Genomic DNA, 18,589 nt, shown 5'->3' with positions numbered 1-18,589 from the left:
TTAGTCCACAGTGTCGCTCTCTGCCGGCGGCATCCACCATAACAGACGCCGCACGGGAGGCGCAGGGCTTTCCCCGGAGAGGGCGCGGCTTTTCTCAGCCGAGCTCCTGGTCTCACCAGGCTGCTGTCCTTAGTCTCCCTGCTCAGCAAGGCCGGTGTCTGCTGTGGGCTGTGTCCACTGCCCCTCAGGACAGTCCTGGAGGAGACAGCTCCATGTGCTCAGAGGCTCCTCGCAGCTCCCACTGCCCACTGTGTCCTGCCCTGAATGCATCCAGAAGGGGTCAGAAAAAAAGGAAGCTCCGAGAGGGGACAGGGAGTGACAGGACAGACGGGATCCCATGTGTCTGTGTCACCAAAGCAATTGGCACAAATCCTGGGAAGAGAGTGGGGCCTCAGCCCTCCAGAGGCAAAGACCTGGGAGAGTTGCCGCCCTCCCCACGGAGGCATGGGTGGGTGGGGATGGGAGAAGAACTGGAAGGCCATGTGGTGTTTGAAGATGCCAGATGCCCGATGCCCAGGGGAGCAGCAACAGAGGGAGCTCCTCCTGCGAGGCTGAGCCCAGGAGGTAACTGAGGACATGGCAGGAGGAAGACCTCAGTGAGGACTTTGTGAAACTTAGGAAGAAAGGAACTGTGACCCAAAACACATGGAGAAGAGGAAGAACAAAGAGTCAAGAAGCCAATACAAGGCAGCTGCCTCCAAGGCTGACCTGAGAGGAGTAACTGACCAACCTCGGGCCTGGACCTTCGAGGTTTAGGGGCCAATTTCTTATTGACCAGATGCCCTCCCAGCCCCAGGCCTTCATTATGATTATGAATCCTTTCTTCTGTTACCCAAGTTCATTGTAAGAACATCTTCTAGAAAGAGCTCATCAAATAGCTCAGAAGAGAGCTAGGCCCTACATCACTCTTTGCTAAGCATTTATACCTTGAGATAATTTTAGGTCGTATTTTTACTGTTTGGACTACATTGGATTAGTTAATATTTTGATTTACCAATGTAATACATAGTCATTTCAGAAAACTTACAAATAAAAAAAGGATTGAACAATAAAATATGATTAAATAAAATCCCACCATTTGTAGAAAAACCAATGTGGATATTCTTGGAAACTGAGAAATGATTTCCATACAGGGACGTGCTCATGCCTTCGGAGTGCTGTTCAGTCACTTCAACAGGCCCCAGGTGTGACGCAGGCTCCCGACACCTTTTCCCATCACTGCCCACATGTTCCCATGAATCTGATCTCGTCAACAACAAACAACCAACAACAACAAAGTTTAGTCTTACCTGTTCAAGACTTTCATGTAAATGGAATAATTCAGTATAAACTAGTTGGCATTCAGCTTCTTTCCCTCAGCACTTTTACTTCTTTATTTTGGATTAATATGACTTCCATTTCCCATTCATGTCTTACTGCAGTGGCTAGTACCTCTTGTACTATACTGAGAAGAAGCGGTAAGAGCTCTTTATCAGGTTGAAAAATTTACCAACTATTTTCTACCAACATTTGCTAAGAGTTTTTAAGTTATAAAACGGTGTTATATTTTCTCAAATAATTGATTTGCATCTATTGAAATGACAATATAATTTTTCTTCTTTAGTTAATTTGGTGAACTACATTGATTTATTCTCTTATGTTAAACAGATGTTGCATTTCTGGAATTTTCTAGAATCATGATTAAGTGGTCCAACTTAATCATGATATCTTATTCTTGTTACTTATTGCTGAATTTGATATGCTTATGTTTTGTTAGTGATTTTTGCATCTATGCTTATGAAGGCTATTGGTCTGTCAATTTCTGACCTTATAATGCCTTTGTCTGGTTTTTGAATTCTGGTTATAGTAACGTCATAAAATACTTTAGGAAATGATAGTTCCTCCTCTAGTTTATGAGTTTATATAGAATAGATGTTACTTCTTTCTTACACACTAGATGGAATTTACTAATGAAGTTGTTTGGGCCTGGAATTTTCTTTATAAGGAGTTTAATTATGAATTAATATCTTTAACAAATATAGGGCGATTTAAATTTTCTATTTTTGCCTGGGTTTATTTTGGTAATGTGTGTCTCTCAGGGAATTTGTCCATTTTATCTAAGCTGTCGAATGCATCAGCATGAAATTGTTCGTGTCATCACTCATTACCCTTTGCGTGTCTGCAGGACCTGTTGTGATGCCCCTTCCTGGTTCCTGACATTGATGATTTGTCTTGCCTTTTTTTTTTTTAAATAATCAGTCTTGTTAAGGGATTTTCAATTTTATTAATCTTTTGTTTTTTTCCTTGAGAAAGAGTCTCATTCTGTTGCTTAGGCTGAAGTGCAGTGGCATAATCTTGGCTCACTGCAACCTCCGCCTCCTGGGTTCAAGTGATTCTCCCACCTCAGCCTCCCAAGTAGCTTCCTTCTACAGGTGTTCAAACCACCATGCCCAGCTAATTTTTGTATTTTTTGTAGAGACGAAATTTCGCCATGTTGCCAAGGTTGGTCTTGAACTCCTGAGCTCAAGCAATCTGCCCACCTCAGACTCCCAGAGTGCTGGGATTACAGGTGTGACCCATTGCACCCGGCCTTAATCTTTACAAATAACAAATTTTGGGTTTGTAAATTTTCTCCGTTGTTTTATATTTCATTAAATTTCCTTCTGTTTTTATTATTTCTTTTTTTTCCTGCCTACCTTGACCTTAATTTTTTTCTTTTTTAACTAGCTCCCTAAGGTGGAAGCAAAGATAATTGATTTAAACTTTTTCTTCATGTCTAATATAGGCATTAATCAATTTCTCCTTAAGGACTGCTTTAGCTCCATCCCACAATTTTTGTATTTGATTTCAATGTTCCAAGTTGATTTTCTTGAGTATATGATGGGCATCTTTCAATAGGTAGAATTAAATTCAGAAAACTTACAAAACACAGACAGGGTTGAACAATAAAATATAATTAAATAAAATCCCACCATTCATAGAAAAACAAATGTGGATTTTTTGGAAACTGAGGAATTATTTCCATACTGAGAAGTGCTCATGCCTTTGGAGTGCTGTTCGGTCACTTCGATGGGCCCCAGGTGTGACACAGGCTCCCGACACCTTTTCCCATCACTGTCCGCAAGTTCCCATGAATCTGATCTCATCAACAAAGTATATAAAAAATATATATATATCTACTGGGTCTGGCTTTGTCATTCAGACTGCAGTGCAGTGGTGCAATCTTGGCTCACTGCAACCTCTGCCTCCTGGGCTCAAGCCATCCTCCCATCTCAGCCCTCCCAAATAGCTGGGACCACAGATGTGCACCACCACACCTGGCTAATTTCTATATTTTTTTTAGAGACAGGATTTCACCATGTTGCCCAGGCTGGTCTCAGACTCCTGAACTCAAGGGATCCTCCCACCTCAGCCTCCCAAAGTGCTGAGATTATAGGTATGGAATTATAGTGTTTGTTTGCTTTTGTTTCCTTGAGATGAGGTCTCACTCTGTCTCCCAGGCTGGAGTGCAGTGGCACAATCCCGGCTCACTGCAACCTCCTCCTCCCTGGTTTAAGCTATTCTCCTGCCTCAGCCTCCCGAGTAGCTGGGATTACAGGTGCACGCCACCATGCCCAGCTATTTTTATATTTTTAGTAGAGACAATGTTTCACCATGTTGGCCAGGCTAGTCTCAAACTCCTGACCTTAGGTGATCCGCCCGCCTCGGCCTCCCAAAGTGCTGGGATTACAGGCATGAGCCACTATTCCTGGCCAGAATTATAGTTTTAAATATCAGTTCTGTTCCATTGTGTTAATTTAGTCTTCATTTACTCCAGTTGCATCTGTGTTGTATATTCTTTGACAGGCTTTTATATTTATTATTTTCTCATATTTTTAATTTCCTTTATTTTCATTTTAATTTCTTATTTGTATCTTCTTATTTCTGTTCTCTAAGTCTCTTACTGTGCTTTTGGTTATATATGTTTTCCCTTGGGCACCCCATAATTTGTCCTTACTTTCTGTTATGATTTCTGTCTTTTTCTTCAGTTTCTTACTTGAATGTTGCTAGCTGTAATTTTATACCTTCCAGTATTTATCTATTTGTATTCTGAGTTTTTGAGCCTCTGATTTGTGATGACCTTTTAAATCTGCAATTGCTTGTTTATCTTGGAGGGTTGTGGTACACTTTTCATTAGCTTTGAGGATTTTTTGAGGTAGGTTTTTCTCCTGCTGAAATTTCTATTCTTATTCTCAATTTTGGCTCTCTTATAGTCAATTTTTATGGCTGGACGCTGATTTCTTATTTTGTTCAGGATTATTTGTGTCAGATTTTCCTGAACCAGTGGTAGCTGATGCCTTGTGCAGGGAGTCTGGGTGTTTTACTCCATTTTTTAGTTTAAGAGCACCCTCTTATCGGCTACAGTAAAGTCCAATTTGTTTGATAAATGACAACTTTGGGGGCCTGTTTCTTTCTGATTCTTCGATAACACCCTGGGTCAGTAGCGCCCTTATCAAAGCGGCATCTCCCCCTTCCAAGAAGCTTTCCTCTCCCCAGACAGTTGTCCACAGGATTGCATCCATGGGTCCTGTGCATATTCCAAGCATCGTCCTTTCAGCTCCCAGCACAGCTTTCTGATCTGCCTTAGACCTCCTCTTTGTCTCCCTCTCTCGGGGAGCAGACGTCTCCTCTGGTGAATGTCATGGGTTTCCTCCTACACGTGGGCACTGCAAACCCTCCTGTCTTCCAAGCACACTCCAACTCACTCTGCTCTGCTGTGGGCCCCCTCGCCAGCTCTGATGGGTTCAAATGTTTGTTTCATCTTTTATGTGTCAGTTGAAGTTTGTGTTATTTGTTCTCTGTGTTCTGTTTGGTTGGGGGTGGTTTTGTTTGCTTTCTTTGTGCTTTTATAGAGGATATGTGGACAGATTTGGATCTAAGGGACAGTCATTATCCAACAGGTCCCAGAAGCTACTCCTTCCCCTTCTTCATTTCCTTTTTCAGTTTCCCTCACTCATATTGAACACTGCACCCGGGAGTGTCTGCAGCTGAACTCCCAGCAACCCACCTGTGTGGCACATGGGACACAGACTGAGAATAATGAAGGCCCAGGTGTGAGAACTGATTTGATGAGGGCTGCGGGTGTCCAGGCCTCCCGGGTGTGGCAATGGCTCTGCAGGCTCAGAAAAGCACTGTGGAGTGACTGCACTTGGCCTCCCTGGACATGTGCTGAGGATAAACCACACCAGTGAACCTTTTGGCAAGATGCATGAGCCACGTACACAAAATGGGTCCACGTCCCCCAGAACCCGGCAGCCACGTGGGCTCAGCCCATGGCAACACATTCATTTCCAACTTTGCACATAATTCTGGCTGAGGCAGGATTCACCATGCCCAGCTTATAGCCACATCTGGCCAATCTGGTTCAACATCCGTGTAATGGAGTTGTGACTTGTTCTTCAGTTGCCGTGGACCCCCAGGCTGAAGGTCATATAACCTGAGCATGCCCAGACAACCCACGTGTGCAACATGGGGGAACCTAAGTGCTGGGGCTGGGGAACGGGGACCGAATGAGGATCCAGGATCCAATCAGTGGAGCCCCAGCATCAGCCCCATGGCAGCACAGCTCATTAGTGCATACTTGGAAGACCTGGTCCAACCCCAGCTCGGGGAGGCAGATCTGGGCACTTCCTCCTGTCTCCTGGCCAGTCGACTCGCAAAAAATCTTTCTTGCTGCAAAACCCAGTGCTTCGGTGTTCGGCTTTCCACTGTGTGCCGGCAGACGGACCTGGTTTGATTCGGTGACAAGCCTGAGAGCATGCATCCTGCAGCTCCTCCTACTACAACCTCGGCGCTGTGCGGCAGCTCTCAGGACTCACCTGCACTCCTGCCTCACCCCCGCGAGCCCTCCCTGAAAGCTGAGCCCTCACATGGCTGAGATCTGAGCCGGGTGCTTGGCCTGGATGTGCCCCATGAGGTCCTTCTGATCCTGGGCCAGTCTCTTGTGATCCATAACCTGTCCTGCTGCTGACAGAGCTCCCAGCCCTGCCAAGGGGACCTCCTATGGGGCTGCCCCTGCTTTCCTAAGCAGCTGGATGAATCTTGATCAATCACATCCTGTAATGACTGCAGTGTCACCTTACATTTACATGGTGCACATTGTTATTCTGCACTGTAAACAACAGGCATAGAATTCAGTTGTCGACTTGGATGAGCTAGTCCACACCAACCGGAATGTCCACAAAAATGTGAGTGTACTCGTCATTGCTCCATGATCTCATATCATCCCCACTAAACACTGTGAGATGAAAATTATGATCCCTGTTTTATAGGTCAAGAGCACCCTCTTATTTGCTATAGTAAAGTTCAATGTATTTAATAAATGGCAACTTTGGGGCTCTGTTTCCTTCCGACTCTTTGATAACACCCTGGGTCAGTAGTGCATCATCATCAGCTACTTTCTCCTTTTCTTTCACCATCAACCATCTAAAGTACATCTCCCCCTTCCGAGGAGCTCCCCTCTCCCCCAGACAGTTACACATGAGAACAAACTATGGAACAAGCCACAAAGAAACTGAAGCTTGAGGAGGTGAAGTCCAAGGTCAAAATCATAGTGAGTGGCAGAGAAAATGCCAGCGTCATGGAGCCGATGCTTTGGGACTGGTGATTTGTTTCACAAATGAATTCTTTCTTTTCCACAAAGGATAGGTTTGATTACACACTGAGGTCTCCTCCATCTGATATTTAAATGTACATGTAGAAGATTTTTCCCACAGCTTTTCAGAAACCTGCACTATGGACAGTGAAGGGAACTTGTGTTCACAAAACAGGCATCCCCAGAAGCCTGGAGAAAGGAGAGGCTGCTGGATGTGCCTCAGGACACAGCCAGGGTGTCATGCCCTGACTTTCACCTTTCTCTAGGAAGCCGTCCAGGTTTTCTGCCACCAGTGCTTGCTGTCACAGCGGCTGCTGCTGCCACACAGGCACCACCCGGCGAGGTGGGGGTTATGTGAATTCAGGTTTCCAGCCCTTCTCAGTGCTCCTTAGAAAAACCAGACGACGTGCCTCAAAACAAGGAAAAATAAAACAAGCAAGCAGTGTCTCAGCCCCTGGGCCCACACATAACCACCACTTTTCTGTAAAATAAAACTTGAATACATTAAAAGTGTCTGGAAAACACTCCATGGGGAGCCTCCGAAGCATCCAAAGCGCATGGTGCTTGCTGGCCGGGGCTGTGCTCGCCCCAGAAGGGCAGAGCTTGGGTGAGCCCTTTGCACGCACATTTTATACCTCCAGGGGTCATGGTGGCCTCGGGAGACCGGGCAGAGTCCTCTTCTTTTTAAAACTGAGGTGAAATTCACACAACACAAAATTAACCCTTTTAGAGTGAGCAACTCGATGGCATTTATCACACTCGCAGTGGGCAGCTGCCACCTCTGGACACTTCAGGGCAGCTTCATCACCCCAAAAGGAAGCCCCGCACCCATGAGCAGTCATTCCCGTTCCTTTCTCCCAGCCCCAGGCAGCCCCCTGTCACTGCGGAATTACCGGTTCTGGATATTACATGTAAAAGGAATTGTGCGCTCTGTGGCCTTCTGTGTCTGGCGAACCCCACTGAGCACGGTGTCTCGAGGTTCACCCGTGCGGTTCCCCGTGTCAGTGCGGCGTCCCTTGCTGTGGCGGAAACATATTCCCTTCTATGGAGGCCCCATTATGCACTCAGCCGTCAAGGGGACGTCTGGGCTGCTTCTGCCTCTCGGCTGCTGCGCATGCGGTTTCTATGCGCATGTGTGTACTCGTACTTCTTGGAGCCCCTGTTTTCGATTCTTTTGTGGATAGGCCTGGAGGTGGGATTGCTGGGCCCTATAGAGATTCTGTGTTAACTTTCTGAGGAGTTGCCCTTTGGTTTTCCACAGCAGCGGCGCCACGTTCCATTCCCACCCACGGTGCACGAGGGCCCCAGTTCTGCGCAGCCCCCGGGTCCGTGTGGCCCTGCATGGCCGCGGGCTCCAGCGAACACTGCGGGAGGTGGCGCCAGAGACGTTGGCCTCAGGGAGGCCCTCCTGCGGGGTTCCGCCCGGGGCCGGGAGGCCTCTGCTCCTGCCCTCGGTGTGAGCTGCTTCGTGGCCAAGGGAGAGCCCAGACAGCTGCTCCTCGGACTCAGGACCTGGCCCCAGGCCACTCCGTCTCTCCTACGACTCGGTTGCTGAGCCCAGAACAGAGCGTACATGTGACTTTACCCGCAGGGGCGCTCCTGGAAGTCTGACCAGGGTCGTCGCCAGGGAGCGCCAGGCTCCACGCTCACCTGCCAGGACGGTGGTGCGGTCCAGCGGTGCGGTCCTGCGGTGCGGCCCAGCGGTGAGGTCCTGTGGTGAGGTCCTGTGGTGAGGTCCAGCGGTACGGTCCTGCCGTGCGGTCCAGCGGTGCGGTCCAGCGGTGCGGTCCAGCGGTGCGGTCCTGTGGTGAGGTCCAGCGGTGAGGTCCAGCGGTGCGGTCCTGTGGTGAGGTCCAGCGGTGAGGTCCAGCGGTGCGGTCCTGTGGTGAGGTCCAGCGGTGCGGTCCAGCGGTGAGGTCCAGCGGTGCGGTCCTGTGGTGAGGTCCAGCGGTGAGGTCCAGCGGTGCGGTCCTGTGGTGAGGTCCAGCGGTGAGGTCCAGCGGTGCGGTCCAGCGGTGCGGTCCAGCGGTGCGGCCCAGCGGTGAGGTCCAGTGGTGTGGTGGGTTCTGCCAAGTGATCGCGTGGGACATCACTGGCGTCTCGCCAGGCACCAATTTCTTATGACCACCGGGGCTGGGCCTCATCAGCGGGTTGTTCAGAAATGGTGGAAGGCACGTGGTGCGATCTCTAGGAAGTCAGCTCCCCTCCCCTCATCAAGGCCTGGCTAGCAGCAAAGGGATGGCAGGAGCCCCTCAACCCCACCCACACACCCCACAGCCTCCATGACAACGAGGGTGTCTGTGAGCTCATCCCCCCGCCAGCATCTGTGGGCTCCACTCCGCCTGGACGCCACGCTGGCTGCAGGTGGGCGGGTATTGTCTGCTCCTGAATTCCTTTCCCTGGACAGAAGTGACCCTGTGTGACCTTCAGCTGCAGAGCAGCCCCCTCCACACATCTGAGTTGACCCTGAACGCCCCGTGGGCAGGGCTCGGATTCAGCCTTGATGCCCAAAGCAACAATGCCAGTGCAGCGCCCCTGCAGCCGGGCACCCCCCTCGTCTTCCCTCGTTCCTGATCCTGTCTGGCTGGCCTGTGCCACCCACCTGGCTTCTGACCCACATACCTCTTCTTCCTTGGGTTAGATGGGGCTCTCTAGACCCCATGGCAGGGGTCCTGCTCCACCTGGGTGGGCCTCCAGAACCCAGACTATGGCCTTCCTAAAACTGCCTATACCTGTCCATCACCCACAGTTCAGGGACCAGCACCCCATGAGTCCCTGGACAAAAGCAGCTGTGGGCAGCTGCACCCGGGGGTCCCTGGCTGGGCCCTGCATGCTCCCTCAGCCCAGGGCTCCCTCAGCCCAGGGCCCCAGACTGGTGAAGGAGGGGACCTGCAGGTTGAGGACGGGGCATCGGGCTGGCCTCCCTTTTGGGGTGAGGAGGGGCATCAGGCCGGCCTCCCTTGCGGGTTGAGGAGGGATATTGGGCCGACCTCCCCTGTGGGTTAAGGAGGGGGCATCGGGCCGGCCTCCACTGCAGCAGCCCACCCACCCTCAGTGGGGCTCCTTCTGGCTCACTCTTCGTCTCTGTAAAATCCATGTAAACCGTTAAAAATACAGAGATGCTTTTAAGTATTCCCCAAGGAACTCTCCCCTGGTCCTTCTCTGGCCTGGTGGGGGGGCCGCCCCACACACAGGGCCCTCCCAGGGATCAGCCTTCCTCCATGACAGCCGGCCGGGCACCTGTCTGCAGTAGCTCATAGCTTATCCTTTCACCTCTGCATGGAACCGGAGAGTTCACATCACCTAGAAGGAGCCCCACGCACCCCGGCCAGGGAAACCCCCACTTGGCTGTGAGCTCTCTCTCCAGATGTGGCTCTTATTTTTACAAGATTTAATTTCTATTGGTTTTGCTGAAAACGAGGAAATTTTTTTATCTCTTTTTCTCACTCCCAACCAAAATAATATTTTAGCCAAACTGAAATGTCTGTTTCTCTACTTCAGAAGAAAAAGTAAATAAAGCTACCCTTTTATACCATCTCATTTTTCAGAATTTTAATCAACACAGAAAATTCTGTGTGTAAAACATGGAGTTTATTTTGAAAATGACCATATTTTCTGCTTGTTTAGAGTACCAGCATTTTCTGTGTATGAGCAATACTATGCTAAATTAGCCTTGTGGATTCTATTTATAAGAATATTTTATTCCATTGATATGAATAAATTATTTACATATCTAGAAATACAACAGATTCAAATAAGAATTAGTTTCCAGTTCAATCAAAAATGTTTCTTTTTTTCTTAAAATGGTTTTATTGTTTTTTCACACATAGTCACACGTGAAGGAAAGTGATGACTGTAACAGCGAAAAGAACTTAAAACTGTATTAATCCCCTTCTTGGTGAGATCATGTGCAGTGAAGCAGAAACTGAATTTTAGGGACTGGGAAATACTGGAAAATCTTGCTATTTTCCTAGTTATCTGAGCACTTTGCAAACAAATCTAATACCAAACGCTCGGGGAAAATTTCCAAGCCTGCAAGCTGGGTTCCTGCTTTCATGTCTGATTTCCCGAGACCACCCTGTCCGTGGTGACGCAGCGTGGTGATGACTGAGGCATGGGACTGTCACCCCACCATGACGTTGGGTATGCTGTTGGACTTGGGGTGAGGACACTCTGGATGCCCTGGTTCTCTTTGGTTCCACCACATCTGGATTGCAGACCTGGGGGAGGAAACCAAAGGACACCACAACCCCTTCTTTCATCTCCACCTTGGAGGCGGGACAGGTGCGATGACACACCTGAGTTTTCCACAGCTGGGATGGGCCACCTGCCCTCTAGGTGGGAGCAGGAATGGATGCAGGGCTGACGTAATCAGAGCTCTCCAGAGAAAGCTGGAAATTCAGTAAGAGTGGATGTCACACTCTATTTTTTGTTTGTTTGTTTGTTTGTTTGAGACAGAGTCTCGCCCTGTTGCCCAGGCTGGAGTGCAGTGTTGCAATCTCGGCTCACTGTGATCTCTGCCTCCCAGGTTCAAGTGATTCTCCCGCCTCAGCCTCTCGAGCAGCTGAGTCTACAGGTGCATGCCACCATGCCTGGCTAATGTTTTTTGTATTTTTAGTACAGACGGGGTTTCACCATGTAGGCCAGGCTGGTGTTGAACTCCTGACCTCAAGTGATCCGCCGACCTCAGCCTCCCAAAGTGCCGGAATTACAGGTGTGAGCCACCACACCCAGCCCAGATGACACTGCAATCTTGAGTCTAGAATCTGCTGGGTTGACTAGTAACACAGGCAGGAAGTCTGTGGTACAGGTTTGAGGAGAAACCTGTCTTTGCTCCTAAGACCTTCAACTGATTGGATGGGGCCCACCACACAATGGTGGGAGGGGAGGTGGTAATCTATTTACTCAAAGTGTGCTAGCTTAAATGTTAATCACATCTAAAAAATACCTTCCCAGAAACATCTAGGCTGGCATTTGACTCAACAGCTGAGCACCAGGGCCTCACCAAGTTGATACATAAAATTCACCGTCAGAAGGGCTCTGACAAAAGGGAGATGTGGCCCACATCTGGAGCTCCAGCAGCCATTTTGCAACTATGAGGAACAAAGGATGACGGGAAGACCAAGAGACAGACAGCGTGGTCTTTAACTCATGGAGCACCAGACCCAGCCCTGGCAATGGCCCAACTCCCACCCTGTAGGAGGTGTGAGGGGTGACAGACCCCTAGAGGTTCAAATCCTTCGACTGGGTTGGTCTCTGGGAGTCCGTCATACCACTGAAGTCAGCAAAAACATCTTTAAAAACATAACCTCCCTAACTGTTGAGAGGTGGTGGGAGAAACAGGCTGGGACAAGACCCGTGAGATGTGCAGCCAGCAGCGGGCTGTGCTGAACAGAGGCTGGCCATCCCCCACCTGTGCAGTGGGCCGTGCTGAACAGAGGCCGGCCGTCCCCGCCACCTGGCCAGAGGGGTGTGCAGCTCCCACCTGGGCTGCTGCAACAGCCCCCCCTCCTCCTCCACCATGGGATCAGTGGCACCAAAGAGAACATTTCCACCTGACACCTGGCCCCGTGAAGCAAGTTTCACTCAGGGGGAGCTGAGAGGTGCCCGTGCTGTGGCCCCACCCTATGTGGTTCTGTAGCTTTGCATACCTTCCTCCCTGGTGGAGACAGCTGCAGACTAAGGCGACCACCCAGGAGGAATGCGGAGAGCTTGAGGTCCAGCTCATGCCTGATGCATTCTTTCATAAGTCAGTCAGGCACCACATTGCTGCCACTTTTTGGCACTGGTCAGATGCTAAGACCATGCGCATTGAGCCCCTGCCTCAGGAACCCAGCACCTGTGGGGGAAGAAAGACAGGTGGGTGTATCACCCCAAATACCTGCAGAGAATCCAGACATGCCAGGAGGAGGAGGAGGGGCTCCTGGGGACGCTTCTTTGGAGGGTTAAAGAGCATCTGTGCCAACCAGCCAGCACAGGGCAGGGACCACAGCCCAGCAAGTGGCCAACAGTCCTAGCTGTGCTTGTTATTCTGGGACAAAGTTGGAATTTGTAATGAATGAGGTTTTGGCAATGATGTTGGAGAAGCAGAACCCAAGGGGAGGACGGTCGGGCTTGTGGCGTTGGAGGCGGGGACGTGAGGAGTCGGGGACGACCCCAGGACTCCCACTCAGGCGACCGGGTGAAGAGAGCGAGGAGGTGCCAGAGCCATGGGGTTATTTGCTCCCCGCTTGTTTTTAGTAGTAAAGAGCAGTACAGGAATGTAAACAGAAATCATAAAAGTCAAATGTAAAACAAGTGGGGCTGCATCTCGAGAGAAAAGCAACCAGCTCTCCGGCTGCGGCTCCTCCTCCAAGGCAGCCCGTGTCTCGTGGAGTCCCAGGAAGGAGCACGTCCTTTCCCGAGACTCATCACTTTTCTTTGCAACCAGCTTTCTTTAACTACGAAGCTTGCTCGTGGGCCTTCTATGATTTTACAATCAAAGGGCTACCCGGCTAAAACGGCAGCACGTGCTGACTCCCACGGGCCTCGCGTTTGTGGTCAGGGCTCCACTTCACTTTATAGCCGCTCATCTCCGGCCCTGTCCTCAGCCTGGGGCTCCTGCCTTGGTGTCCTCAGCCTTGGCGGTGCCAAGGGACGAGCTTTGTCCTCCTGGGGCCCCACGGAGGAGGACATTGCAGGAGAAGACAACAGGGCTGTGGACATGGAGGCTTTCCGCCCGGATTCCTCCTCTCACGGACAGCAGCTTCGCTCACTCTACTGTCAAGGAAGAAGAGGCGACGAGCGGCTGCCTCCCCATTTTCTTCTATCAAGACCCGGTGCGCTCAGGGTTTTCTCGCCATCCAGCAGCGTTCAACTTTTTCGCTACTAGGTTTCATTTCAAACCAACATATGCTATTTCTGCAGCAGAAGGGGAGTATTGTTTGTTCTAAAGGAACAACACACAGCTGTAACAGAAACACAAATAATTGGCTGTATGACATTCTTCATAAAAAAGACATGTTGATTGTGTTGTAATGGCAAATTCATAGCATATTTTTCTACTAAGTGAGAACAAATGCAATTTGGAGTGTAGTATCCGTTCGGTAAACCAAGACTGCCCTCTATGGACACGCGGGGCCTTGCGGCTGACCCGTTCTCTAGCTCCCTGTCCTCCAGCTGGACAGGAGGCCGCATGTGAACCCGAAGAAATAAACGTCGCTTCCTGAATGACACAGCCTCCAGCAGAGAGGGGCATGTTCTGCTCGTGTCTCTCAGGACCCCCAGCAGGGCTCGGGGGTGTGGTCTCCGTCCATTTTCACTGGAGCAGGACGCAGAGGGTCAAGCCCTCATTCCATGGCTCTCGGTGGCTTGTAATTCTCAGACTTCAGTGGAGATTCTCAGGCCAACAGGGCTCCAGGTTGAGACTCTCAAACAGCAGCAGGATTTGGGGAATGCCTGGAGACCCCAGGGAGAAAGAGCCTTTTCTCCATACGCATGACACACAAGGCCACCACACGCCGTGCAGAGCTGGTCCCGGCCACCCTCTGTGTCTAGAGAGGTATCCACAGTCAGAGAGAAAGGACGAGGAAACGGGAGGAGGACAGGCAGCTTTTCTGAGGGGTCGATCTGGGAGTCCAGAACAAGATACGCAGGTCAGTGTCATACAACCAAATGCACCTGAGAAACAGCTGCTGCCTGCATGGCTGCAAACTCAATTTTAAACCCAGGGATAGGAAGAGAAGGCTATGAGCTGCCAGGTCTGGAGACACCAGTGCCACCGCTGCTCCCTCTCCGAATCTGGGGGGACGTTTTGCTGCAGGAGGAAACCCCAAACCCAGCAGGTGCTTCCTGAGGGTCCCTGTGGGGTCCTCAGTGTGGGGTCCTCAGTGTGGCTTCCAGGGAGAGGAGGGAGGCAGCCACACCTAGGGCTGAAAATCTCTGACTTCAAGTCTATATTTGAGACTTAAACTGTCCTCATCTTTTGGGCACGGTCACTGGCTGGCTTTGCCGACCTTGCCAGGCCAGGGTGTGACCCTGGTTTGTGACCACTCCCATTTCCTTTCCCTGGGCCCAGCCAAATCCCGGATCAGAGCCCATCTCCCTGATAGGGAAGCTGGTCAGTTGGAAATCTGTGCCCCTCCATGCTACGTGCTGACTGTCAGGAGTGGGGGGCAGTCACGAAAGCTTGGGCAGAGCTGACAGTCGGCTGCACACACCATCTGCCATGCGGAGATGATCGGTGTGGTGAACGGGTAAGGAAACCGGGCATTGCTTTTACACATCCTGACTGGGAGAAGGTTGCTTGGAAAATACACACGAGGCCAGTCCTCTCCTCCCCTTAGTTCACGGCCCTCTGCGGGGACAGACCTCTACACAGGAGCCACTGTCACCAGCAGAGCCAGCTCTGCCTGTGTCCAGCCTCCGACAGGGACCCCTGGGCTTCAGCAACACCCCTGCCTCTGCCTCTGCCTCCTCCACTCAGCGCAGTGGCTCCAGCTCCCCTCGACTGCTGTGCCGAACCCTGGCCGTGAATAGAGAAAGCTCCACCAATGTTGCTGAGTCCATACGATGGCGGGTCAGGCAGCCATTTAAAAGGACAAAACAACTGTGCATGCTGCTGTGGGAGGCGTGTTGAGAGGGTAAACACGTGAGCTACAGAACAGTCAGATCCCATTCATACTTAAAAAGAGATTTTCACCTGCACAAGCACATACACACGGAGATGCACACAGGGGCCGAGTGCGGGGGCTCATGCCTGTCAGCCTAGCACAGTGGGAGGCCGAGATAGGCGGATCAGCTGAGGTCAGGAGTTCGAGACCAGCCTGGCCAACATGGTGAAACCCTGTCTCCACTAAAAATACAAAAGTTAGCTGAAATCACTTGAACCCAGGAGGCGGAGGTTGCAGTGGGCCAAGACCGTGCCACTGCACTCCAGTCTGGGCAACACAGGGAGACTCTATCTCAAAAAAAAAAAAAAGTGCACACAGAAGAGCTACCGGAGGCCACTTCTGGGGAACCTGGTGATTTGCCGGAGGGTGTGAGGATTGGCTCTCACTTTTACTTGGTAAACTTCTAGATCATTTAAATGTTATGCTGAGAAAAAATAAAACAGTGTTAATTTTTAAAAATATCTAATACACCTCATTCCTTAATCTGATGGGTTCTGACACTAAAAGCCATTGCCTCTGGAACCTAAGACGACTGTGAGAACACAAGTGACCACAGCTGTGGCCAGGTGCCCCTCCAGGAGAGCAGGCGATGGGGGAGACTTTGAGCTCCGCCTGCATGGCCGGCGAGACAAACGGATGGCAGGTGCAGTGGGCAGGTGGGAGTCGGGCAGTGGTCACCACGTGGAGAGGTGTTTCTGACTCTGAGGGTCACAGGGTGCACAGGAGGCTTTGGGGGTTGGGAGCGACTGCCTCCGAGGGCTGGTGCAGAAGAAGCCAGCGGGGGAGTCTGAGGGGGAGCTTCAGATGTGGAAGGTGGACCTTGTTGAAATGCATGGGCTGATTTGGCGGGTTCCAGGTGAAGAGACGTGGCCACCCAGGGACCACACCATGAGCAGTGAGCCACATGATATTGCCTGGGGCTCGAGCAGATAACCTGGGAGGAGACCACCCGGCCCTCGGTTATCAAGTCTGTAGATGGAGCAACCAGGTGACTGGGGCTGCCGCGTGAACTCGGTGTGATCCTGCCCTTGCCAAGCCTATCAGACCAGCCTCAAGCGCAAAGGGCTGTGGACGCCCCCAAAGAGTCTGTGACGTGCAGAACCACAGGGTCCATGCTGCCTGGGAGAGCCCCGACGGGATCTGGGAACTCAGGACCTGCCCCAGAGGCACTGCTGGATCCTGAGCCGAGACAGCAGCACAAACCCCTCTCCCCGCCCCGGGGCCTGGCCCGGCGCTCCTCACCCAGACCCCAGTCGGAGGAGCGTGGTTGAAACCTATAGGGAAAGAGCAGGTTTTCCGGTCTCAGCACAGTGAGTCTGTGTAACTCTAACCTGGGCCACAGAAGTCACGAGGATTTCTCCTTCAGTCCTCGCTTGCAAACAATGGGAGAGCAAGGGGACCGATGAACAAAATCCTCCCCCATGAGGCTGCCAGGGTCCCTGTCGGGAGGCCACAGCCCTTCTCCCTGAGGACTCAGGGGCCTCCAGCGGGGTGTGCCCTGCTGAGGACCGCGTTTGCAGCTTGTTGAGAATACTTACTTTTAGTGCTCCCTTTTTGTTTCAGTACATTTCTAACTATTACATTTACTTTTATTAATTAATTGTACTGGTTTTTCAAGTCTCGTTAGTTGGGTAGTTCATATTGGTCAGGTTTTAAATCAGCCGACTATTATGGGCTGCGCACTCCACATGGAGTTGGCCTTCACAGTCTGCATTTTAGTATTTCCTGAATTTAAAAATGCGTTGGATTGGATTTCTTGTTATAAATTAAACCAAATGTGATTGCCACCCCCTCCCCATCCCATTGACTTTGCCAGCTTTTCATTATGGAACTGAACATGGTAAAACATTTCATTTGGATGGGATTTCATTTTGCTCTGCTGCCAAACTCTAAGCAAGAATGGACTTTTTAAAACAATATTTTTTAAACCATTTTGTAAAGACTTAACACTGTGTTCACATTTTGGATGCAAAATGTATTTGGAAAGAAAGGAGACTCTTAAAGAGTTCAAATAGTGTGGAATTTACTAGTCACGTGCAATAATCACTTTTCAGATTTAAACTTAATATTAATTTTTAACAGTTCTCAGTAAGACACTGCATTTGTCAAAATAAACACCCTCTCATTGGAATGGGCTGACAGCAGCAGGAGAATGTGTTGAGAATGTGGGCTTTACCACGGGCTTGGAATAATTAAATCATATTGTATAATCCTTTTTATAGAAATATAAAGTTACTTTTCTTTGCAAAAGTTTCCACTCCTGGGGTCCTGGAGGCTCCTCCCTGAGACTCTCGGCACCCGAGGCGTGAGTTGGAGGTGACCTGTAGCTTCCACAGGACACAGATGCCCTGGGCAGGCGAGCAGGCCTGTTCCTAAACGGTCAGAGAGCAAGTACTTTCCACCTCGCAGACCACACAGTCTCTGTCTCCACTGCTCAGCTCTGCTCTTGTTCAAACGCAGCCTCAGACGATGAGTGAACGATGAGTGTGGCCACCTCTCAAGGTGATTCCATCTACAAAAGCAGGTGGTCACTCCCCAGCCCCACAGTAGAGGGGGCCGCCCCTTCCTGCCCACTGAGGCTTTGTCACAGGGCCTTTGTCACAGGGCCTGATGGGACTTGCTTGGGAGACCACCCTTGGAACCCTTGGAGTTAGCAAACACCTGCCTCAAGCCCCATCCAATCCCATCCACCAGGCTCCCTGGCATCCTGAGCATTCAGTGTGTGCAGAATTCAGACCAGCAGGACGTTTCCCAAAACCTCCACAGGGGACCTTAGTAAGCATCGAAGGGCACCTGTAATCCCAGCTACTTGGGTGGCTGAAGCATGAGAATTGCTTGAACCAGGGAGGTGGAGGTTGCAGTGAGCCGAGATCACACCACTGCACTCTAGCCTAGGTGGCAGAATGAGACCTTGTCTCAAAAAAAAAAAAAAAAAAATATATATATATATATATATATACACATATATGTGTGTATATATACATATATATAAATTTTGGATATATTTAAGTATATTTATTAATATTAATATATTTGTAAAAATATATTTTAGATGGGACCTGACTTCTCTGTAGCTCATTGGCTGTCATGACGATCCCGCCCCAGCAGTGTGTGCAGTTCTACTTTGTTCTTTTAAACGGCTGCCTGGCCCTCCATTGTACAAACCCAGCAAACCTGATGTAACTTTCCCTGTTCACAGCCATGTGTGTGCTAGTTTTTGTCTCACATAAACAAAGCTTCAAACAGCAGCCTTGTAGATCTCTCTCTTTTTTTTTTTTTTTTTTGTCCATTTGCAAGTATATTTCTAAGGAAGTTACCTAGAAAT

The 18,589-nt window shown here is 50.1% G+C and overlaps 3 annotated features.

Moving 5' to 3' along the window:
* Positions 5,293 to 5,792: an enhancer, noted in NCBI's record as "H3K4me1 hESC enhancer chr5:1771839-1772338 (GRCh37/hg19 assembly coordinates)". NCBI's record gives its function as "activates a minimal SCP1, AML or CMV promoter by ChIP-STARR-seq in naive H9 embryonic stem cells {active_cell/tissue: H9 hESC(naive)}" and the evidence as "EXISTENCE:reporter gene assay evidence [ECO:0000049][PMID:30033119]".
* Positions 7,482 to 8,188: an enhancer, noted in NCBI's record as "H3K27ac-H3K4me1 hESC enhancer chr5:1769443-1770149 (GRCh37/hg19 assembly coordinates)". NCBI's record gives its function as "activates a minimal SCP1, AML or CMV promoter by ChIP-STARR-seq in naive H9 embryonic stem cells {active_cell/tissue: H9 hESC(naive)}" and the evidence as "EXISTENCE:reporter gene assay evidence [ECO:0000049][PMID:30033119]".
* Positions 8,189 to 8,897: an enhancer, noted in NCBI's record as "H3K27ac-H3K4me1 hESC enhancer chr5:1768734-1769442 (GRCh37/hg19 assembly coordinates)". NCBI's record gives its function as "activates a minimal SCP1, AML or CMV promoter by ChIP-STARR-seq in naive H9 embryonic stem cells {active_cell/tissue: H9 hESC(naive)}" and the evidence as "EXISTENCE:reporter gene assay evidence [ECO:0000049][PMID:30033119]".

Source organism: Homo sapiens, chromosome 5, assembly GCF_000001405.40.
Source record: "Homo sapiens chromosome 5, GRCh38.p14 Primary Assembly".
Lineage (NCBI taxonomy): Eukaryota > Metazoa > Chordata > Mammalia > Primates > Hominidae > Homo > Homo sapiens.
Note: the sequence above shows the minus strand (reverse complement) of the source record. Positions and strands in the feature narration are given on the sequence as shown.